General features: G+C 40.2%; 1 protein-coding gene across 4 annotated transcripts in view, besides 1 other annotated feature; it reads left to right on the forward strand.

The window, feature by feature from the left end:
* ROR1 (receptor tyrosine kinase like orphan receptor 1) overlaps positions 1-25,200 on the forward strand; it is a 407,482-nt gene that overhangs the window by 371,934 nt on the left and 10,348 nt on the right. For all 4 annotated transcript variants that reach the window (NM_005012.4, XM_011541526.2, XM_017001377.2 and 1 more), the window contains one exon: positions 13,031-13,242. In NM_005012.4, the coding sequence (NP_005003.2) occupies positions 13,031-13,242 (212 nt within the window). The remainder of the gene's footprint in view (positions 1-13,030; positions 13,243-25,200) is intronic.
* Positions 9,231-9,781: an enhancer, noted in NCBI's record as "NANOG hESC enhancer chr1:64620864-64621414 (GRCh37/hg19 assembly coordinates)". NCBI's record gives its function as "activates a minimal SCP1, AML or CMV promoter by ChIP-STARR-seq in naive H9 embryonic stem cells {active_cell/tissue: H9 hESC(naive)}" and the evidence as "EXISTENCE:reporter gene assay evidence [ECO:0000049][PMID:30033119]".

Consider the following 25,200-nt stretch of genomic DNA (forward strand, 5'->3'; position numbering starts at 1 on the left):
CAAGCTCATCTTCTTGCTACTCTTCTGTGCTACTTCGGGTTATTGGTTGATGTACAGAGGAAACCAAATGAACTGGTTTGTTTTGTTTCTTTGTTTTTTGAGACAGGATCTTGCTACGTTGCCCAGGCTGGTCTCTAACTCCTGGGCCCAATAAATCTTTCTGCCTTGGCCTCCTGAGTACCTGGGACTACAGGCATGCACCACCATGCCCAGCTTTAAATGAATTGTTTTAAGAAAGAAATGGGCTGGGCTTGGTGGCTCACGCCTGTAATCTCAGCACTTTGGGAGGCCGTGGCAGGCAGATCACTTGAGGTCAGGAGTTCAAGACCAGCCTGGCCAACATGGTGAAACCCCGTCTCTACCAAAAATACAAAAATTAGCCAGGTGTGGTGGCATGCACCTGTAATCCCAGCTAGTTGGGAGGCTGAGGCATGAGAATCGCTTGAACTTGGGAGGCGGAGGTTGCAGTGAGCCGAGATCGCACCACTGCACTCCAGCCTGGGCGATAGAGCGAGACTCAGTCTCAAGAAGAAAAAAGAAAGAAAGAAAAGAAAAGCATTATTTGTTCCACCCTAGGTAAACACTATTGTTCTTTGGGTGACTTCTGACCCTTAATTTCCAACCAATGCCTATCAGAAGTAGGGAAGTAATTTGTCCAGAAGCTGGAAGACATATTGATACTCTGATTCAAGGACTCAAGCTCTATTACGATTAGTTTAAGCAAGGATTACAAATTATACCTAAAGTACTCGTTTTCATTTCGATGCCCTTCCTGCAGCATCCAGATCAAACCCATGCTAGGAGGGATGAAAGAAACCTTCGAAAGGTCTTTCAGACTGAGTAGAAAGAGGGAGATCACTTACATCTACAGGATACCTACTATGTGCCTGCATGGTGCCTGGTGCTTTACATATTCATCTCCATTTAAAATTCACAACCATGCTGTGGGGTAGGTATGATTAACATATTTCACTGAGGTTCAAAGGGGCTACAGGACTTGTCTAAATCACACAGCCAACCACTGTCTGCATAGAGCTCTGACCAAACTCAAAGCTCATGTTCTTTTACCAGACACTCTGCTATCTCTCATTTGAAGATTTTTCTGAAATAAATACAAGCATGATGATTGGTTCCACCTCTGGATTACATCATGCCGATTTCCATTATATGATATGACATCAAAATCTTCCCGTGCTGATGAAGAACTCTATCATAGTATTACTCAGTGTGTTATTATCTTAGTATTAATCAGTATAGCAATGTTGAAAACCCTTGGAATATTTCTTTTCTGAATATATGTGCAGAGGACACAGTGAAAATCCTGAGGACTGGTTAATACTAGTCACATGAGAGATGAATTTAGATGAAAGTTAAATATAGAGATGACAAGGCAGTTTTCACCACTTAGATTTTTTTTTAAAGAACATTTTCATTTTATTTTAAAACAAAGCAGTTCCTCTTGAATTCTTCAAGCCAAGCCACGAATATATCCATTAAAGGAACAGGGAAGCCTTGACATATGATCAATAAGCTGCTGGAGGGCCAGTAGCTCCCAGGTGGGATTCCTGAGAAGACAGTAGGTCAGCATCAGCTGTGCTCAGGGGTATGCGTGTCTTCTCCCAGTCGCCCTCAGCCCACCTCTAACAAACTGATCATCATGGAATCCTATTTTTATAACTCCTTTGGGGCATTTGATTTTTTTTTCTCATTTCATTGTCACAAAACCATGAAAGATCAAGTAGGAATTTCCAGCCCTGTTTTACCATATGAGAAAATCAAGGCCCAGAGAAGTGAGAAGGCTTACCTAAGATCACAAATGAATTCATGGAAACCAGGTCTCCTATCTCTAGGACCACTGCTCTTTGTTCTACACCAGTGATTCTCAACCAGGGGCAATTTCATCTTCCAGGGAACATTTGGCAATTTCTGGAGAGATTTTGGTTATCACAAGTGGGTGGGGTTGGGGGATGCTACTGGCAACTGTTGTGTAGAGGTCAGGGATGTTGCTAAATACACTGCAGTACCCAGAACAGCCCACACAATGAATCATCTAGCCCAAAATGTCGAATGTTGGGGTTGAGGAACTCTTTTCTACACTGTACAATTGTAAACTATAGAATAACAATAATATTCAATAGTAATTATCATTTATTGTATGCTTACAATGAGCTGAAAACTCTGCTGACACTTTTAGGCATTATCTCATGTTTAAATAGTTCTATCCCCCTAGGAGTAGGTTTTATTATACCCAAGAAAGAAAACTGAGACTTGGAGAGGTTAAGTAACATGTGTCCGAGGTCACATGGTTAATAAGAAGTGGACCCAGGACTCACATCTGTACTCAGCCTTTTAAACTGTGGTTTATGCATGTATGTTGTGTATGTGTTTTTGTGTGTGTAAACAGATAAAACTTGAGAATAACTTCATTTTACAGTGAGTTGTAAGCTAGTGGGGCAGATTTGAAATGAGCCCTTTTTCTCCTCCATCCTGAATGAGACAGAGTCTCATAGGAAAATTCCTGCATTCTTTAGCTAACTCAAAGTTAAGGAGATTTCAGAATCTCCATGGGGTTTCTCATTTTCCTACTGATAACTTTTGTTTTAGTTTCAACTAAGTAGAGCTAAAAGAAGCATAGGCCTAATTAAATAGAAAATGTGAACGTTTGTTGTACTTTCTCTAATAAAGGCGCTTGAGAACAGTCTGCTGCAGATTGTTTTATCTGTGAACCTTCACTCCAGAGCAGAATATAAAATTAAGTACAATCAAATATGGCTGTTGTAAATTCTGGGAATTGGCTTGGCTAGGATTATATGCATATGCCCAGACAGTGCTTAGAGAAAGTGAAAAAAAAGACAAAAGTTGGTTTGGGCAAGACCTGGCTTCTCATCCTCCATGTCTTTTCTTTCATGTCACAGGCATCTAACAATTAGAATTACTAATTATTTATTCATTCACTCACAGAAACCAATATATGTTGAGCTTCTACTGTGTCTCAGACCCTGTGAACAAGCTAAATCAGACCATGCCCTTGTGTAGCCTACAATCTAATGAAGGAATCAGATGGAAAAAAAAATATGAATCACATTAAGTATTGTCATATAGTTCCCAGTTTTATGTCTGCTCTTATGTGCGTGGCATTTTAATGATGACTACTGCTTGTTGAATACTGTGCTAAGATATCTGTGCCGGCATCTAGCCTAGGACTTAGTTGGTGCTCAATAAAATGTGTTGAATTAATTGGTTTAATCCACACGGTAAACACAAGATAAAGGTGTCATCTCCATTTTCCTAAAGGAAAAACAGGCAATGTTGTTTTTACTGAAGCCGAGATTCAAACCAATTCCATAGAATTTCATATCCATTCCTCCATCTACCATGCCATAACTGCTTAAACAATAGAGTCCTGATTATTTCAGAGGAACACACATTCCTTTATTATTTTCCCTTTCCCTTTGATCATTATGATCTCTCTGGGTCTTTGGGATGCTGCCCATTGATATTCTTATTTGCAGCTCCAGGGATATAGGAATGAAGCCCCCAGCCACAAAGATATCTACTCTGAGAGACCCTACTGTGCTCCTCTTAGATGCAGCCCTGATATAGATTAGCTCCCCAGCAGCTCCACCCACATCTCACAGGGTGTGCCCTTCTCCCATTAAGTCCCATCTCCTCTCTTTCTGGAAGCCCCATGTCTCCTCCAGTCCTCAAAGTTGGCCATCTTCTCTGCCTGCAAAGCTTCATTCACTATGCTTTCACCTTTTGTTGTGGTCACCTTCCAAGTCAAATATCTTGGGTTGGGTGTAAACTAAATTGAGAAAGAAGCATTTTGCCTAAGTTCTTTCTAACTGGCATCTAGGCACACTGCCTAGGTTCACCATTTCACTGTAGCCCTTTATCATTGCTTTTCTATGCAGCTCTGGGGGTGTAGCTGTGGAAACTGTCAATACCTCTGAGAACTCCTTTTGCAACAATCTGTCCATTTTACTTTGGTTGTATTTTATTAATACCACAAGACTTATGTTCTCTCTCTCTCTTTCTCTCTGTCTCTCATTTAGATCCCCTATTTGTTTCTTTCTTGATTTGTATGGGAAGGCAGAATCTCAATCGTATTGGTATTTTTATATTTAAACCATGGGCCTTTGTTTTACCCTTGATCAAATCCTGAGGTCACATTTCTTCTCCTAGCCATGCCAGCATGTCTGTTTCTCCTCTAAGTAAAGGTTTCTCCCTCTACCAAATAAAAGTTCCAAGCAGCAGTATTGTTTTTACTCCTAAACCAGCTTCACCAAAGAGTATCCATGATAAGAAAAGTGGTGAACCATTTGGCTCCATTTGGAGTTTTCATACCTGGCCTATTGCTTTTGTATTTCCTTTTAAGTCACTGGCTTGCAACAATTTGCCAAAGGGCGCATTGCCCAGTTTTGTGCCTGAATAGCCTTGACTTGTCCTATAATCTTACAAACACCCACCCTGGGCTCCAGTTTGTCACAAACCATATTCTGCAACGTGGTGGTTTACAGTTCGGGGCAAGGCAGATGTTTTCCAGATTGTGAACACTGCCATTTTTAACTTGCTCTGTCAGCAGCCTTCTCCCATATTTCATAGAAGACCTGTTGTAAGGCAATTTGTCTTTCAGCCATTTCTTCAAAATAAAATTGAACGTTACAGTGAATTGGATGGTGGAGGGGGTAAAGGAGGAAGAAGTATAGCACTGTTTTATATAGTTTGAAGCTTTCTGGAAGAGTTATTTTTATACTGCAGAGATTTTCAAGATGTGCTTTCATTTCCAGTCTCTATACATTTTCAACAACAAAGTAAAGAACAATAGTGACCCAAAACTTATAGCTAAGTCATGTTCCATGAACATTTTTAACCATAAAATAATTTCTCTCAAAGGTTTTTTTGTTGTTGTTCCTAGTATATATTGAGTCATTTACCCAGTGTGTAAGCTGCTCTAGCAATAAGCTTCTGAAACCTCTGAACTTTTTGGGCTCACCACCATGCCAGTAAGAAGTGCTTGTTGGTGTCTTAACCTTTGCTGACAGAAATCTGATATAATACCACAATGATTGTTGCCACTGGCTTTGTAACAAACTGTTTTTTGGTTAAGCTTCTGGCAGGAAACACATGGCACAAGCCGATAGACTAAGGGAAATGTTATAATGTAATTATTTAGGGAGGCATTGGCAGAATTAGGAGAAACCATTAAGGAAAGGTGCGAGACCTGGGGCTAACATGAATGGGAGGTATTACCATCCTAGATCAGTTACCTTACCTTGCAGAATATAGCTGAGACTGAAGAGAGGGCTGTCCAGCACATGCTGTGGCCTTTGGTAGAGGGATATAGTCAACCCTCAGCAACCCAGCAAGGAGGAAGCCAGAGGAACAAGGGTTTCAACCCATACTCTTCTCCTGCCTTTCATCTCTGGCAAATGACTCCCATAGGTTCAACCTAACTGGAAGCCACAGGTCAAAGGTATCCATTGACACTATCAGTAGAGGTTGGCCTCAGCAAGGAGCTGGTCAGAAAGGACTGAGACTGGATCTGGTGGGCTGAGGATACTCAGGGGAAATGTCATCACTGACTTTAAATCGCTTCATAAGAGTCAGCTTTAAATAAATTGTTTCAAGAAAGAAATGGGCTGGGCTCGGTGGCTTATGCCTGTAATCCTAGCACTTTGGGAGGCCGAGGCGGGCAGATCATTTAAGGTCAGGAGTTCAAAACCAGCCTGGCCAACATGGTGAAACCCCATCTCTACTAAAAATACAAAAAAAAAAAAAAAATTAGCCGGGTGTGGTGGAGGGTGCCTGTAATCCCAGCTACTCAGGAGGCTGAGGCAGGAGAATTGCTTGAACCCCAGAGGGGAGGTTACAGCGAGCTGAGATTGCACCACTGCACTCCAGCCTCGGTGACAGAGCGACACTCCGTCTCAAAAAAAAAAAAAAGTTCAGTAAGGGCCTAAATAAGTTATTTCAACTGAATTTATAAAATCAGAGAACCTTGGGAGCAACCATAGAAATCATCCAGCCTCTACTTGAACATTGCCAGACATCTCCAGAGACAGAGAAATCCTTCCACTTCAAAGTGATTATGGAATGATTCCAACTGCTCAAAAGTTCTGCCTTTGTAAGCTAGAAACCAAAACTCGTATGCAAAATCTGATTTTTTTTAAATGTTGGCCACTGATTCCAATTTTTTAAAAAACCTAATAAAGAACAAGTCTATGGACTGGATCCAAATTTTAACTTCTGGATAATTTCTTACACAAATTTGAAGACATATGTCACATCCTTCATTTGATTTTCTCTTTGGCCTAAAGATCACATGGGTCCTCCTACATTTCCTTCCCCATTCTTCTCCTCTAGGTGTTTCCTAGTCCTTTAGAGCCCTCCTTAAAAATGTGGCTCTTAGAAGACACCTTTCAGTGCTTTTTAACCAGAGCAGGTAGAAGAGGACCACGATGTTCTTGATCATTACCCAGTATTGCCAATGAATACTACTATGTTGCTATAAGTGCCATATGTAAAATTTTTTGAGCAATTGCATCATGCTGTTGCTGGGTTCATCTGAGCCTTTAAATCTTCAGTAAAACTTATTAGTAATCTTTTGTTTGTTTTTAGGGTTTGGTTACATCAACAATTATTTAGTAGATTTGTCTAATCATGGATTTTATAAACAAGATCTTTAACCTTAAAGCAACTTATAATATTTATTTTTAAAATTTCAGCTTCTGGTTTGGATTCATTATATTAGCCTGTCGAGTACGATCCTCTAAAATTTTATTCCATAATTAAACAGTTAGGTATCTTTCCTAGATTCTGGCCATTTCAAGTTTGATAAACATATCATCAATGATAATGTTGAGCAGGCAGGATTCCTCAAGCATAGCCCTTTACAATTTGATGTTGATTGACTGATTAACACTATTAAATAAAGGCAGATGATGAATTACAAATACATCTGATGATATTATTATTCAACCTTTCATCTTGTCCATAAGAATGTCATAAGTCACTTGAGTCATTTGATCAAATGTTTTGCTAAAGTTTAAATGTGCTTAGTCTGTCACTAATAATCTCATCAAAATGAAAGAGATTTAATTTTATACAACCTATAGAATTTTGTCAGTTAAAGATTGGCCCGATTAAAAAGTGGGCAAAGGACTTGAATAGACATTCCTCCAAAGAAGATATACAAATGGCCAAAAGCATATGAAAAGATGTTCAATATCACTAATAATTAGAGAAATGCAAATCAAAACTCCAGTGAGATACCATTTCACACCCATTAGAATGCACTATTAAAAAAATAGCAAGTGTGAAGAAATTGGAACCATTGTGATCTGTTGATAGGAATGTAAAATGGTGCAGCTGCTATGGAAAACAGAATGGAAGTTCCTAAAAAAAATTAAAAATAGAATTACCATCTGATGCAGCAATCCCATTTCTGAGTATTTAATCCAAAAGAATTGAAGTCGGGGTCTCAAAATATTTGTACACCCATGTTCACTGCAGCATTATTCATGATAGCCGTTTAAGGCAGAAGCAACCCAAATGTCCATCAGTGGATGAATGGATAAAGAAAACATGGTATATGCAAACAATGGAATATTATTCAGTCATAAAAAGAAGGAAATCCTGTCACATGGTACAGCATCATGAACCTAGAGGACATTAGACTAAGTAAAATACACCAGTCACAGAAAGATAGATACTGAATGATCCACTTATATGCAGTACCTAAAATAGTCAAAATCAGAAACAGAAAGTACCATGGTGGTTGTCAGGGCTGGGGGAAGGGGGGAAATGGGGAGTTATTCAATGGGCATAGAGTTTTAGTTTTGCAGCATGAAAAAGTTCTGGAGATTGGTTGCACAACAAGAATAAATATATGTAACATTATTGAAATGTAAAATTAAAAATGGTTAAGATGGTAAATTTTACGGTATTTTTTACAATTAAACATTTTTTAATTATTAAAAAAGATTAGCCCAATTCTTTTATAGAGGAGGAAACTGAGGCCCTGAGAGTTTACAGAAACTTTTAGTGAACTTGTGTGGATTCCAGTTACTAAGATTTTTCCCAAATGCTCACAAATGAGTTGCTCTCCCTAACTTATTGTAGTTAAAACCTTTTCTGCAGGGAAAATTTTAATCAATGTATATGGCCTATTCAGCATTTTTTTTTAAAGAATTCATTTGAGAATACATAAGGCAATAGATCATCTACTTAGTATTTCCATCATCAAGTCAAGAGAGTGAATGCCTGGGCCCAGCCTGCCAACTGAAGGCCTAATTACCTCTCTCTCTCGCCTTCCAGGCATATGCCTAAATCACTGGTGCAGGCCCCTATGTGCTACCAACCTGCTTATTTTATAGTTTTCAAGTAATAAATTGGTAGTGATTCCTGTTTGTTTTCTATGGTTTTTAAATTTTTTTCAGTCAAGGTTATAATTTAAACTTGTTTAATTTCCCTTGAATTCTAAGGTTCTGTAAGATTTCTTCCCACCTTTGCCATATTTAAAACCAGAGCCTTTTCTTGTTTTAACTCAAAGTAATATCCCAGATGATGTTTCACTTTATTAAAAGTACCTCTTTAATAAGAAATCATGATTACTTTGCTTTAAGCTTCAGGGAAAGAAAGGAGTATTTTCTCCATTATATTTAATTACTAATCAAAGTATTGAATATCATTGTAAAAATAAAATAGGAATGTCAGATGTGAACTGTGATACCAAATTGTTTGATTTTTAAAAGGAAATTAATCATGTGATCTGGACTAAGTGGTTGGTTTCAAAAATCTCAAGTATTTAACTTGATGTAACTAATATGTGCATTTCACTTTTAAACAGTTATTCCAAAGTATTAAAAATCTTCAACATTCTAATTTCCAGCCGATTTTCTCTGTAATGCATTGGAGGTGTCCATTACCCTTTAAAATGACTAGTAAGAATAATGTCCATTGTTCCAAAGTGATTTTCTTAAAATAGTATGATTCCCACCAGATATTAGTCTTCATTGAAAGAGAACTTCGGACTCTTAAGGAGAATGATGAAAAACAATTATATATATAATGTTTTAGGGTAATTTTGATTAGTAATATAATTTACTAGAAGCACTGAAGGTAGACAGGCTTGCATTCCAACCCAGACTTTGCTACTTTGTAGCTTTGACAAGTTATTTTTCCTTTCTCGGTCTTAATTTCTCTGTGTGTAAAGTCAAGATAACACCAATGTGCCTTCCGGGTTAAAATGAGGAATACAAATGCTCGGACTTCAAAAAGAACCTAGGCAGATATTAGTTTTCTAATTTTTCATTTGGAAGGCTCATTGTTCTATGGAATATTTTTATAGAAGATTTTCAGAGCCAGCAGAGACTGAATCCCCTTCTGGCCAAATGCAGAGAGCTGTGTAGGGAAGGAAGCACTTTGTATGGAAGACTTACAATGGGCCTGAATGTGTTTCTGTCACTTCCAACATGACCATGTATTGTTCTCCTTGATTATTTCACTTGGCAAAAAGACACTGGGCCCCTTGTGCTTGTTAGCATATCCTCAGTGTAATCAGAAGGAGCCAAGCTTGACTGTTTAAAGGATTCAGCTTCTTGAAGTTTGTTCTCCTGCAGACCTACAGGGGGATTTGTCCCAGACCCTCGTTTACAATAGAAGACCTTCCATGAATAATCTGATAGGGCATGAATACAGAATAGACTCCTTTGTTTGCCAGGCAGGTGAGGCCCTACTTTCTCTTGTTGCTAAAAATCTGGCCTGGAAAAATGACTAGCATTGCGTTAGTACTAAATTAGCCTCATCGCTTTTGTAATCATTACCCTCAAAATGATTTCACTGAAAAACCAAGAATAACAACAGAGACTTTACCCCCCTAGGGTACTGAGAAATATGAAAATGGTTTATAATGTTAATAATAACCATAACATCCAACAACTGTATGGCAATTTTCAATTATCCAAGGTTCTTTCATGAACATTATCTCATTTGATTCTCAGGTGAACCAAATAAGATTGGTAGAGCAGGGACTATTATTCCTGCTCTACCAATCGTATTTATTCCATTGAATAAATGAGGAAATGGAGATCAGAGAGATTGTTTCTTGCTTAAGATTATCTAGCCCAAAACTTTTACCTGTGAATCCCCCTCTAGTCTAAGGGTAAAGGGTAAACATTGAGTGGTAACTGGTACTAGAATAGATTTGTTGCTTACAGCAATTCTGTGAAGTAGGTATTACTCCCATTTTACAGATGAGTTTGCTTGGAGTGGCAAAGGGCCTACTGAAGGTCACGTAGATAATGAAAAGGCATTATTCAGAGGTTTCTGACTTGGTGCCCTGTGGCAGACCGTCTTCTACTCAGGTGATTCCTTTCTGTCTATCTATAGGCATGTAGACACAATCATTACTGGTGCAACCAGCACTGACTACGACGGCCTCCAGTGATGCCTGGGTTATATATTTACCTGTAACAGTGTATAAAGCAGGGATTTTCTGTAATCCCAGCACTTTGGGAGGCCGAGGCAGGCGGATCACGAGGTCAAGAGATCGAGACCATCCTGGCCAACATGGTGAAACCCTGTCTCTACTAAAAATACAAAAATTAGCTGGGCGTGGTGGCACGTGCCTGTAGTCCCAGCTACTCAGGGGGCTGAGGCAGGTGAATCGCTTGAACCCGGGAGGCGGACGTTGCAGTGAGCCGAGATCGCACCATTGCACTCCAGCCTGGTGACAGAGCGAGACTCCGTCTCAAAAAAAAAAAAAAAAAAAAAGCAGGGATTTCAAAAGCATCACATTTGGCAAAACTTCAGTGTTATTCCCTTCCTTTCAGATCACCCTCATCCTTCCTACCTCCATGAAACAAGAGGAACCCTACTATGAGAAAATAGGGGCAAAATTCTCCAATTATTGGCAGTGAAGTGTAGTAGCTAGAATGGTGGGCAAAAAGCAAGACCGACGATGGAATCCCAGCTTTTGACTTACTAGCAGCATGTCCTTGGGCAACTTACTTAACCACTCTGTCTTCCAGCATCTTCACCTATAAAAATTAGGATAAGGATGTCATCTACCTTATAGAGTTGGTTGTGACATAAAATGAGTTTATGAAAAGCACCTGGTCCATAGTAATAATAGCTAACATGATTTTGCACCAGTAGAAAATATTTGATAAATATTAAAATTGCGTTTTGTTTTGTTTTTTTGAGACAAGGTCTCACTCTGTCACCCAGGCTGGAGTGCAGTGGCGCAATCACAGCTCACTGCAGCCTCAACCTTCTGGGCTCAGGTAATCCTTCCGCCTCAGCCTCTCAAGTAGCCAGGACTACAGACATGCACCACCATGCCTGGCTAATTTTTTTAATTTTTTGTAGAGATGGGGTTTCGCCATGTTGCCTAGGCTGGTCTCAAATTCCTAGGCTCAAGCAACCTGCCTGCCTCAGCCTCCCAAAGTGCTGGGATTACAGACATGACCCACTGCACCCAGCCTAAAATTCGTATTATTTTTATTCTACTCTGTAACCAGATTTAACCCCTCTCCAGGCTCTTCTGAGGGCTAACTCACAGGGCACAGTCCCAAAACCAGGTTTTGGTATTCCTTTTGAATAACTGATATGCCATATCTCACCTGCCAAACAGTTCCCAAACAAGGTGTGTACAAGTAAAAACTACATATGGTTTATTCTCATTTACATGTACTAGGGTAACTCATCATTTAAAGGACCTTTTGGGTCTTTTCATCACTATCTTTATACTTCCAGTTTAGCATTTACAGGACATGTCATTATCTTTCTTCTATTTTCCTTACCAGACGATGAGCTCCTTAAGGGCAGAGGACATGTCATACCTAATTTTGTATTCCCAGTACCTACAATAGTGCCTGACATGCAGTAGCTTTTGTTTATTGACTTACTGAATGAGTGGAAGGGTAATTGAATGAATGCATGGTTAATTCTTTTGTAAGGTAAATAATCATCTCTGAATTTTGTGTCAATTTGAGTTTTCACACTTTGAGTTTTCTTAAAGATAGCTGATCTTCGTTATCAGGGCATGTCATTATGTAACCCCTCTAATTACTATCCCATAATTCTGTGTTTGTTTTACCAGTCAAATAATTCATTAATGACAATATATGCCTAAGTATTTGGTTTCAATGGTTAGGCTCAAACTGATAAAAAGACAAGTATGTCTCGTGTTCTACACATATTATATTCTTTTCCAAGCAATGGGATATAAGATTTCAAAAATATACTTCAAAGTGTTAGCACTCATAATTATTGGGCTCATATGAAACCATTTAAGAATTCTGGGGTTTCAATAAAGTGTCAGATTATACAGTGCTGCCATGCTGGAAGGAATTATAGACACCATCCAAAACAGACACTTCACTTTTGCAGAGGTAAAAAATGAGGCCCAGAGACGTGAATATTTGTTCAAGGTCACACAGCTGATCAAAGATCAAACTGACCCTGACTTCAGGCCCCCATATTCTCAGGCCAGTGGCTTTTTGGACACTGGGACCAGGATTCCTTAGTAATGTTGATTCTGGAAGATGCAGGCTTGGCCCCATAAGTCCAAACCAGCCAAGACAAGGTCATGATTTCTAGAACACCATCTTGTGGGGGCTGATCTGGGCTGGCAGCCAATGGAAGAAGAGCCCTGTGGTCCACATTAAGGCTCTTGGATGTATACAGTCCATTCACGTGGCGTTTAACTTTTAAGGTGTTAGAGAAATGTAGGTCTGCCACTAAAGAGAGGCAACATCAGAGGAGGACCCACACACGTACAAAGTCTTCATAATGTCCCTCTGCAGTTTTTAAACATTTGAACTTTAAACTTTTAAACTTCAATAAATTATGTTGAAGGTTTGATGGAAACAAATGGTAATAAGCAGTGGATTCCTTTCTTCTCACAGTGGATTTGTGTGTATAAAAGAATAGAAGAGGTGGTTCATTTTAAACTATGCAATGTAATATTATGCATGTTACTTTAAAGAGTATAACTTTTGCTCTTTTTCATTTCTGCACCCAGATTCAAAGGATTCCAAGGAGAAGAATAAAATGGAAATCCTGTACATACTAGTGCCAAGTGTGGCCATTCCCCTGGCCATTGCTTTACTCTTCTTCTTCATTTGCGTCTGTCGGAATAACCAGAAGTCATCGTCGGCACCAGTCCAGAGGCAACCAAAACACGTCAGAGGTCAAAATGTAGAGATGTCAATGCTGAATGCATATAAACCCAAGGTAATGTTAGCAGTACAGAGCTACATTTGTTCCGTGGGCTTCAAGTTAAAGCACCATGTTATAACCCTCCCAAGCTTGGAAATCGAATGATATGGAATCAGAGTTTTATAAGTGCTAAGGTTCATTTTAACCAAATGCAAAGACGAACTACCTACCTCTATCTAAACCAAGACACTTTCATCAGTATGTCTACTTCAGTGTTGAGCCAGCCATATCACTGCCTTGCCATAGAGTCATTGGGCTAGAAGTGATCCCTAAGAAATCATCCTGACCAGCCCGTCAGGACTCAGAACGTGAGCAATTTTTCAAAATTTCAAAGAGGAAATTTCATACTTTTCCATCCAAATTGCAAGAGAGAACAAGATCCATCATTGTTCACAAACTTCACTGTCAAGAACCTTTTCGTTGCATAATATGCAAATAGTTAAAACCACTGTACTATATACTTAAAAATGATTAAGATAGTAAATTTTGTTGTGTTTTTTTACCACGATTTAAAAAAAATCCTTTGTATGCCTAACTTACATCCCTTTTTCTTTGGCTTAAGTATATTTTAAGGAAGTGTTGTCCTTCCAATAGTCTTCGAATGCTGTTTTATGATAACCAACCTTAGCCTTCCCCACTTTGAGCTAAATCAACCCCTTCCCTTTTGCTTTTCATCCACATCTTTCAACGTTTGAGTTGCTCGAGGTCCTGGCAAGGAACCCAGGGTCACTGGCCCTTACCTTAAATGGAGCCCCTGCACTGCATCTTGGAACTAAAATACAACAGAGTCTTTCTTTCAGGAAAGCCAGCACCACAATCCCAGGCCTCTCAGCAAAAAGATTTCATTTAAATAATTTAAGACTCTTGCATCTAACAGCCTGTTTTTTTTTCTAATTATTCCAATTCCATAAGAACATTCATTCATTCAACAAATATTTATCTTCCCTGTGGACTAGTAACTGTATTATTCTTTTGATCCTCATAAAGAGGAGAAGCATCACTTTTAATAAAATTTTAGGAAAAAAAAGTCTTCACACTCAAATTAACTAATCCTCTTATCTAATAAATGGAGTAGCGTAATTGGGCTGACACAGAGCCCTCATTTTTTTTTCTGCTTTACTGTTTAAATTTTTTTTATCTAAAAAATCTTGAAAAGATTTTTGCTATTATAAAGTCATATTTATTAATAGGATTTGGAATTCCTTAAATGCTAAAAATTCAGTGTATATATTCTGTATTCAGCAAAACCACTGATCTCTTGCTGAGTGTGAATTTTTATCATTAAAAACAAGCAAACAACAAAAAAAAAACCCTACAAATCCTGAAGACCATAGAGTTCACACAGTAGCCTGGAGGATGGGCAGGGTAGGGATTCAACTCTTTTGACATCCCAGCTTCTAGCTAGCTGATTTACATATATTATAGCATTTTATATAATATCACATTTAATCCTTACTACTTAGTGCTACTATAAAAGTAGTGAAAGCAAATGGATGGGGGTTAATATTGCTACACATTCACCTAGTTGACCTGGCAGATACTTTTACCTAGCTCATGACTTCAAGCTTCTAGTGTAAGAGTCATTGTTCCATGAGACTCTTTCCCTTTCATTTCTGTTGGTAAATGTTGAGAAGTCTTAGAAACACCAGAACTCTGGGCGGGGGAGAGACCTAGATCATTTTGGTTACAGCAGACGGCAGTTTGGTGCAGTAGCCACCATCCTGGAAAGATGTACTCCTCATTGCCAGGGCAGGAACCATGGAAGAATCATTTCCATTTTTAGAAATTATCAATTTTGTGGGTTAGCCTTAATCTGCAATTGAATTACATTTTTAGTGGAGGTTTGTTTTATATCACATGATCTCCAACAGAAATTCCAGAGAGCTTTGTGGCATAAATAGAAAAAAGGCTAATATATATATCGATGAATACAAACTGTCAAGAACAATACCAGGAGCTTTTACATCCATTATCACACTTAATCCTCACAGCTATTATATAAGGCAGGTATTATTATTACTATTGTACAACCAGGGTAATTGAGACACAAACAGACTAAGTAACTTCCCCAAGGTCCAAGAGCTAGTTATTAGAAGCAATAAAATGTGAATACAGGATCTTTCACCTTTTCTAAATAGAGCTGGCCCTTGCTCTTGCAGAATCCGTGATAACTTTTTCACAGAACAGATCAAGTTGGGAAGGAGGAGGGAGGGTTAGGCAAGCAACTGAGTGTGATCCCATTTGGTCAGTTTGTGCTTCAGAGTAACCACAGGCATTCTCCTGGCTTCTGACAAATATTTAAGGGGCCTGCATGGCAGTCTCTGAATGATGTAGCCCTAGCCCTGCCAGGGACATGTACAATTTGGCTAGAGCAATAATAGTTCCCCATCCTTCATGGTCAGAGACAAATGTGAAATATACTGGCATGAGTTTTCCCAGAGACTGGGTGAAGTAAACATTGTTTTCATAGTTTCTGGATCATTTCTGAGGTGTGCCTTGCTAAATCTCCCAGTGTCAAGATTTGTCCACTATGAGGCTTAGAGCTTAGCCTTAAACTCCTGAACCAGAGAAGTAGAAATGGCTTAAATATTTGAATGGGTTGGGGAGGGGAAAGGAAACAACAAAAACAAATGCTAACTTTTTTTTTTCTTACACTTCTAAGGGACTTGGCTCCGATCAAATTTGAGTTATTCAATTGTTTGTTTTGGTTCTTACTGAGTGCCTTTCCTGGAAAAAGCACAAAGGACTCTGTAGACCTTAAAGAAAATTCCTAAATGTAAACAGAAAATCTCTAAAACTGCTTTGGAAGGTCACTGACACATAAATATTACATGTACCTATAAAATCTAAAAGGAAAGGACACACATAAGAAAGAAACAAAGAAAAGTCCTGAAAACAAACACTCCACCAGAGCAAAATCAAAAGAATATTTGGAGGCGAGGATGAAAAAGGAATGAAGGATAGAAGCCAGTCTGCCCTAGCCTTATTCTTTTTTCCCCTTGGCCAATTCAAAAGTCAGAGACTCTAGGGTTCTTATTTATCCAAATGAATGTGCCCTTCAGGGTTTAAACTCTCTGCTTCCATCTCTCTTCACTTGCTGAGCCGCTAAAATTCTCCTGAGTGTTTGGATTGAGAAGAAGAGGCTCCTGTGGGAGATTAGAAACTGATACCCTTGAGAGAGGACAATAGGGAGCTGCCGACAGACTGGCTGACGAGGCCCGGCTTGGGTCCCCAGAGAGGTAGGACAGTGCAGTTGGAAGTAAAAGCTTTTGATGAGCCATGAGTTTCCTTCTGATCTGTGGGCAAAGGAAGCCAGTGGACCAGAGAGGCACCTTAACGCCGAACAATCAGGAAGATGGAGATGTCCTGGCTCCCATGCCAACTGCTCTGTGACTCTGAGAAGCCATCTAGCTTTTTGCAGTTCAATTTTCTCAGCTGTTCAGGAGAAGAAGTAGACTGCATTCAAGTATAAGACTGTTTATTTTCCTGTTATTTTGTTTAGCCAAAGATTTGAAGCCATTCAATCCTCTAACGAGTACTGTAGTGTTGCCTAAACTAAGCAGGATTTTCTATATTGCATTACAAATTTTACAATCTGAGTGAGGTTGTTTTTTCTTCTTTTAGTACAGCAGAAATTGAACCTTCTCAGAGGAGCCTGGAAACTCTAAATTCCCTTCTCTGTTTCTTTTCCTTTGCTTCTCCTTCCCTTGCCCCTACATCCCCTGCCAGGTATGACTCTGGAAAACAGCATTCTGTAAGCTTGCTTGGGTAAGGGAGAGAAGCTGTGGTATGTGCTACTGTGGGAGCAGGGAGGGGGCAGAGTCTCCCCTTCAAGAACAGGATGGGTCCCATTCAGCCCAGGCCTCCTGGCTCCTCACCTGCCTGGAGGTTAGGCAGACAGAGAGGTTAAAAGATGGAGGAGTCTGAGGGGCATGGTTGCTCACACCTGTAATCTCAGCATTTGAGGAAACCAAGCTGGACAGATCGCTTGAGCCCAGGAGTTCAAGACCAGCCTGGGCAACATGGGGAAACCCCATCTCTACAAACACACACACACACACACACACACACACACACACACACACACACAATTCGCCAGGCATGGTGGTGCATCTCTATACTCAGAGCTACTCGGGAGGCTGAGGTGGGAGGATTACTTGAGCCTGGGAATTTGAGGCTGCAGTGAGCTAAGATCATGCCACTGCACTCCAGCCTAGGCAACAGAGTGAGACTCATCTCAAAAAAAGAAAAAAAGATGGAGGAGTCTGAGAATGGGGGCGAGGAAGAGTCAAGGCAGGCCAGGGGTGTGAGATGCAGCCAAAGCCTGGACAGCCCCCATGAGTCGAACTCCTGCAGCTCCTGGCTGATGTAAGGAACATCGCAGGGGAAAGAAAGCAAGACTGGCCCAGCTTTCCAAAGCTGATGGCTGTGTTTTACTTCTCAATTTACCCTCATCTCTTGCCAGCTTCTCTCCTTTTTCACTTCCAGACAATTCATCTCTCCGTTTTCCTTTCCAGCCAAAGTAGTTGCTGAATATACTGAAATTTGATTACATTCTCTGGCCCTGTCCCTTTTGCCAGCAACATGCTTCCATCTAAAAGCCCTGCTGGAGTCTGGCTACCCTTTTTAATTTGCTGTTCTTACCAAATGTCACCACACTTCATGCTAAAATATCCTCGATAATTTTTCCACTCACTCCTTAAAGCTATTGTCTCCCAACACTTCTGAGCTCACCATTCTATTAACATGGGCCTCTTGGGAAGCACCAGTGATGTTATTTAATCCAGTGACCTTTGCCAAGTCTTCCTCCCCTTTAATTTCTCTGGAGCCTTTGATATTCTTAACCACCATCCTGAAATATATTTTTTTTTCCCCTTGACTTTCCTCCTATCTGCTTCCCACACTTCCTTCACTAGTTCTTTTAATTCCCTTAATGGGAGCATCCTCTGACATTCTTTTCCTCTCTCATTCTCTTGAGCTGATTTCATCCTCTGGCATTGCTCTAGCTCCCCCTTGAGTGTAATGATTTCCCAACCTGGAAGGCCCAGTTTCAAGTTATAAAATTCTTGCCACCAAAATCCTGCCACCCAAAAGTCCATACTATCGGGGCCTAGCTTACCTTTCCAGCCACACTTTTCTCTTAGTTTATTTCTGGAAAGTAGTCTGATACACTTCAAAGAGCAAGAGTGTAGAGACAAAGAGATATGATTACAAATCTTGGCTCTGCTGTCAACTGGCCACAAGATCTTAAGCAAATAACTAACTTCTCTGAACCTTTTATTTTCTCATCCATAAGGCAAGGATAAGAATAGTACTTAAAAGGGATATTTTTTACACTTTGAGATAGCATGTCTGGCACCTCACAGGTACTTAATAACCAGAAATTACTATTATTGTTATAACTGATGAGTACAGATCTTTTTTTTAACTTTTATTTTAAGTTAAGGTGTACAAGGGCAGGTTTGTTATGTAGGTAAACTTGTGTCATGGGAGTTTGTTGTACAGATTATTTGATCACCCAGGTATTAAGCCCAGTACTCATTAGTTATTTTTCCTGATCCTCTCCCTCCTCCCAAGCTCCACCCTCTGAAAGGCCCCAGGGTGTGTTGTTCCCCTCTGTGTGTCTATGAGAACAACATTTAGCTCTCACTTAAAAGTGAGAACATGCGGTACTTAGTTTTCTGTTCCTGTGTTACTTTGCTAAGGATAATGGTCTCCAGCTCCATCCATGTCCCTGCAAAGGATGTGATCTTATTCTTTTTTATGTCCACATAGTATTCCATGGAGTATATTGTATGTACCACATTTTCTTTATCCAGTCTATCACTGATGGGCCTTTAGGTTGATTCCATGTCTTTGCTGTTGTGAATAGTGCTGCAGTGAACGTATATGTGCATGTGTCCTTATAATAAAATCAGTTATATTCCTTTGGGTATATACCCAGGATTTAAATTGCTAGGTCAAATGCTATTTCTGTCTTTAGATATTTTAGGTTTCCACAATGGCTGAACTAATTTACACTCCCATCAACAGTGTATAAGCGTTCCTTTTTCTCTGCAACCTCGCCAGAATCTGTTGTTTTTTGACCTTTTAATAATGGCCATTCTGACTGGTGTGAGATGGTGTCTCATTGTGGTTTTGATTTGCATTTCTCTAATAATCAGTGATGTTGAGCTTTTTTTCATATGTTTGTTGGCCACACGTATGTCTTCTTTTGAAAAGTGTCTGTTCATGTCCTTTTTATGGGGTTGTTTTTCTTTAAATTCCTTAGAAATGCTGGATATAAGACTTTCACCGGATGCATAGTTTGCAAAATTTTTCTCCCATTCTGTAGGTTGTGTTACTCTGTTGATAGTTTCTTTTGCTGTGCAGAAACTCTTTAGTTTAATAAGATCCCATTTGTCAATTTTTGCTCTGGTTTTGATTGCTTTTGGTGTCTTCGTCATGAAATCTTTGCCTGTGCCTATATCCTGAATGGTATTGCCTATGTTGTCTTCCAGGATTTTTATAATTTCGGGTTTTACTTTTTTTTTTTTTTTTTTTTTGAGATGGAATCTCGCTTTGTCACCCAGGCTGAAGTGCAGTGGTGTGATCTCAGCTCACTGCAACCTCCACCTCCTGGGTTTAAGCAATTATCATGCCTCAGCCTCCTGAGTAGCTGGGACTACAGGCATGTACCACCACACGTGGCTAATTTTTGTCTTTCTTCATAGAGATGAGGTTTTGCCATATTTCCCAGGCTGGTCTCAAACTCCTGGCCTCAAGTGATTCACCTGCCTTGGCCTCCCAAAGTGCTGGGATTACAGGCATGAGCCACTAGGGTTTTACATTTAAGTCTTTCATCCATCTTGAATTAATTTTTGTACATAGTATAAGGAAAGGGTCCAGTTTCAATCTTCTGCATATAGCTAGCCAGTTATCCCAGAACCATTTATTTTACTAGGGAATTCTTTCCCCACTGCTTGCTTTTGTCAGGTTTGTTAAAGATCAGGTAGTTGTAGGTGTGCAATCTAATTTCCGAGTTCTCTATTCTGTTCCATTGTTCTATGTGTCTGTTTCTGCACCAGTACCATGCTCTTTTGGTTACTGTAGCCCTGTAGTATAGTTTGAAGTCAGCTAGCATGATGCCTCCAGCTTTGTTCTTTTTTCTTGGCTATTTGGGCTCTTTTTTAGTTCCATGTGAATTTTTAAATAGTTTTCTCTAGTTCTGTGAAGAATATCAATGGTAGTTGAGTAGGAATAGCATTTAATCTGTAAATTGCTTTGGGCAGTATGGCCATTTTAATGATATTGATTCTTCCAATCTATGAGCATGGAATGTTTTTTCATTTGTTTGTGTCATCTCTGATTTCTTTGAGCAGTGTTTTGACTACAGCTCTTTTAATGAAGCAAATGCTGTGCAAACATAGATTAATGAAGCAAATGCTGTGCAAACATAGGATACTGTGGGCTGGGGAGGAAGCTATAGGATCCAGCAATGCACAGCATTAACTGGGGTGAGGACACAGGCAAGAGAATCCCAGCAAAGATTATAGAGGTAGCTCTTTGGACAGCTCTCGTATTCCTTGTGTCCATCCTGTTAGCATACATTCTCCTGCCCCACACCCTGCTCACATCCTGGATAAAATCCATCAGGGTGGAGAAGGTCTGACAGTGAGGGCTGGGAGGCTGCCCGGTACATAACCTCAGCTTAAACCAATGTCTATAGAAACTCTACTTCTGGGAAAAACAAGTCCTATAAATGACTATATTATAAATTGGCATCATAAACGGACTAAAGTACTTCAATATCTCAATAGAATCTTTGTAATAACCCTATGAAGTAGGTACTAATTTAAGTCTGATTTTTAGGATGAGAAAACTGAGGCTTCAGATTCAGAATTGGCCCAAAGTCACAAATTATTAAGTGACAGAGCCAAACTTGAACCCAGGTCTGCTCAGGTGCAGAGCCCAGTGCTTTTCTATTTGCCTCTACTGCCTTTATTTTCAGGCTGACTGAAATATATGAGCCCAAGTTATGAGCACGTGATGGCTCAAGCTGACATTAAAATTACTGGCATCTGTTCTGTCTATTTCCAGGCAGAATAGAACCTCTCCCATTGGCATTATAAAGTAACTCAACCACAGAATCAACCCTGCTCACCACCAAACATTCAAGCTAACTATCAGAAAGTTACGTTATAGAGAAAAGAAATGCTTCTGAAGTTAAATCACTTCCAGAGAAATGCAGCTGAACTCCAAGCAAGTGTGGCAAAATATTGGTTGAAACTCCCTCTAGAACTTGATTGCATAAGCCAGAAGGCACTTAATCCAGCTGTAGTCTTTGAAAATGTCCATAACCTCCCAAAACAAAATGGCTGTGGCCTCTAAGCTTTTAAAATGTAATCATTTCCATTTATGAGTAGAGTCAATTGTTTCATAATTCTAACACTGTTTACCTAAGAACCAGTAAAATGCACAAGAAAGGAAAATAGGTTTTGGAGTCAAGCAGATCCATGTCAACAGCCAAGTCTAGGTACTAAGAAATCTTACATCTATATACTCTCCAGGGCTCTCATGCTCAATTCAGGTGAAGGTTGCCATGGACAGGTTTTGTTCATCTATCCCAGTCAACTAGCTAGCAGAGACAACAGAGCATCAACGGAGTGAGGTCTAACTCAAAAACCAGAGAGCTCTTATACCTTGAGCATTTCACTTTTGCATCAATGGTCCTCATGCTTTTAAAATGTAGAGTCCTTTGAGGATCAGATGGAAAGTCTGCCTCCTCTTCCCAGAAAGCTCTGCAACTTTGGTGTCAGACATTCTTGGATTTGAATCTTGGCATCACCACTTAATAGTTGTGCTTCTTTAGGCAGGCTACTTAACCACTGAATGCCTTATGTCCTTATCCATAAAATGGGGGCAGTCGTAATATGAATCTCACAGAATTGTGATAAGGATTAAATGGGTTGATGCATTAAGCACTTTATGTCCGAGAGCAGACAAGGAGTATAGTGTGGTCATTAGCAAGGCAGGCTCTGGTGTCTGAATTGACCACCTACCAGCTGTGAGACCACTTAACTGACCTGTTCTTTGGTTTTTCCATTTGTAAAATAGGTGTGAGTCATAGTTACCAATCTCATGGGGTTAGTGTGAGGATGAAAGGAGCTAATATGTGTAAAGTACTTACAGCCTAACATATAAGCATTCAAAAAATCATAGCCATTATTAGGATCTCAGTGTCTGGCACATGGCAGATATTTAATAAATGGTAGGTATTGTTAAATTCAGATTACAGATATCTAGGATAGGAGCCATGTCTTCTCTCTTCATGGTTCTTTCATGGCCCCTCATATAGTAGTCTGTATGTATATTCTTCAGTATATTGTATATACAGTATCAGTTGACTGACTGATGCAACTAGCTATTAAAATATATCCTAAATGATTGGCTCTAATTGAAACTAAAGGAAACTGGTGATATGGCCCAAGCTATGACTACAAGTAGTCATGTAGTATATAAACCTAATAAATGCTGGTTAATGGTTCTTATATTTTTCTCTACCTGATATTTCCAAAGCATCTTTTCAAGCAAGAGTATTGTTTTCTCTCAGTTGGATAAGTTTAAATTGCCCAACTAGGTTCATCAGACACATTGTGGTCATTCATCATGCAGAGAGAAGGGACCCAGATCACTAAGGAATTGACTGATCCAGAAAACTACATCCATTTATTCCAGGGGCTCTCAAAGTGAGGCCTCTAGGCCAGCAGGAGTCTCCTCAACTGAGAACTGTCAGAAATGGACAATCTCAGACCCACATAGGAACTCTTGAGGTGGAGCCCAGCAATCCCAGCAATCTGTGCTTTAACAAGTGGCACTGATGCCTGCTCTGATGTAGACTATGCTGGTCAGTACTTGAGATTCAGGAAGCAAGTCAGCCCATAGGGAATACCAATCTCAGAGAAAACTGTGCTTCCAAAGAGAAAAAGGACCTGGGATAGCCCTCCTATTACCAAAAATACTCCTCTAATTTTAGTAGGGCCAGGGTCTGCTCATCATTCCTCTGATGGGGTGTATTAGTCTGTTTGAACACTGCTGATAAAGACATACCTGAGAATGGAAAGAAAAAGAGGTTTAATGGACTTACAGTTCCACATGGCTGGGGAGGCCTCACAATCATGGCAGAAGGCAAGGAGGACCAAGTCACATCTTATGTGGATGGCAGCAGACAAAGAGAGAGCTTGTGCGGGGAAACTCCCCCTTATAGAACCATCAGCTCTCATGAGACTTATTCACTATCACGAGAACAGCATGGGAAAGACCTGCCCCCATGATTCAATAACCTCCCACTGGGTCCCTCCCACACCATATGGGAATTCAAGATGAGATTTGGGTGGGGACACTGCCAAACCATATCATTTGACCCCTGGTCCCTTTCAAATCTCATTTCCTTACATTTTAAAACCAATCATCCCCTCCCAAAAGTCCCCCAAAGTCTCAACTCATTTCGGCATTAACTCAGAAGTCCACAGTCCAAAGTCTCATCCAAGACAACGCAAGTCCCTTCTGCCTATGAGCCTGTAAAATCAAAAGCAAGTTAGTTACTTCCCAGATACAGTGGGGGTACAGGCATTGGGTAAATACAGCCATTCCAAATGGGAGAAATTGGCCAAAAAACAAAGGGGCTACAGGCCCCATGCAAGTCCAAAATCCAGCAGGGCAGTCAAATCTTAAGGCTCCAAAATGATCTCCTTTGACTCCATGTCTCACATCCAGGTGACTCTGATGCAAGCAGTGCATCAGACACCTCTGCACCTTTGCAGGGTAGAGTACCCCTCCTGGCTGCTTTCATGGGCTGGCATTGAGTGTCTGGGACTTTTCCAGACTCACAGTGCAAGCTGTTGGTGGGTCTACCATTCTGGGGTCTGGAGGACAGTGGCTCTCTTCTCACAGGTCCACTAGGCAGTGCCCCATTAGGGACTTGTTATGGAGGCTCCAACCCCACATTTCCCTTCTACACTGCCCTAGCAGAGGTTCTCCATGAGGGCCTCACCCCTGCAGCAAACTTCTGCCTGGGCATCCAGGCATTTCCATACATCCTCTGAAATCTAGGTGGAGATTCCCAAACCTCAATTCTTGACTTCTGTGCACCTGCAGGCTCAACACCACATGGAAGCTGCCAAGCCTTGGGACCTCCAACCTCTGAAGCCACAGCACGAGCTGTACCTTGACCCCTTTTAGTCATAGCTGGAGTGGCTGGGACACAGGGCACTAAGTACCTAGACTGCACACAGCAGAGGGACCCTGGTCCCAGCCCACAAAACCATTTTCTCCTCCTAAACCTCTGGGTGATGGGAGGGGCTGCCGTGAAGACCTCTGACATGCCTTGGAGACATTTTCCCCATTATCTTGGTGATTAACATTTGGCTTCTCATTACTTATGCAAATTTCTGCAGCCAGCTTGAATTTCTCCTCAAAAAATGGGATTTTATTTTCTATTGCATTGTCAGGCTGCAAATATTCCAAGCTTTTGTTCTGTTTTCCTTTTAAAACTGAATGCCTTTAACAGCACCCAAATCACCTCTTGAATGCTTTGCTGCTTAGAAATTTCTTCCGCCAAATACCCTAAATCATCTCTCTCAAGTTCAAAGTTCCACAAATCTCTAGGGCAGGGGAAAAATGCCGCCAGTCTCTTTGCTAAAACATAACAAGAGTCACCTCTGCTTCAGTTCCCAACAAGTTCCTCATCTCCATCTGAGACCACCTAAGTCTGGATTTCATTGTCCTTATCATTATCAGCATTTTGGTCAAAGCCATTCAACAAGTCTCCAGGGAGTTCCAAACTTTCCCACATTTTCCTGTCTTCTTCTAAGCCCTCCAAACTGTTCCAACCTCTGCCTGTTACCCAGTTCCAAAGTCACTTCCACATTTTCGGGTATCTTTTCAGCAGCACCCCACTCTACTGGTACCAATTTACAATATTAGTCCATTTTC

The sequence above is a fragment of the Homo sapiens genome, chromosome 1 (genome assembly GCF_000001405.40).
Source record: "Homo sapiens chromosome 1, GRCh38.p14 Primary Assembly".
NCBI lineage: Eukaryota > Metazoa > Chordata > Mammalia > Primates > Hominidae > Homo > Homo sapiens.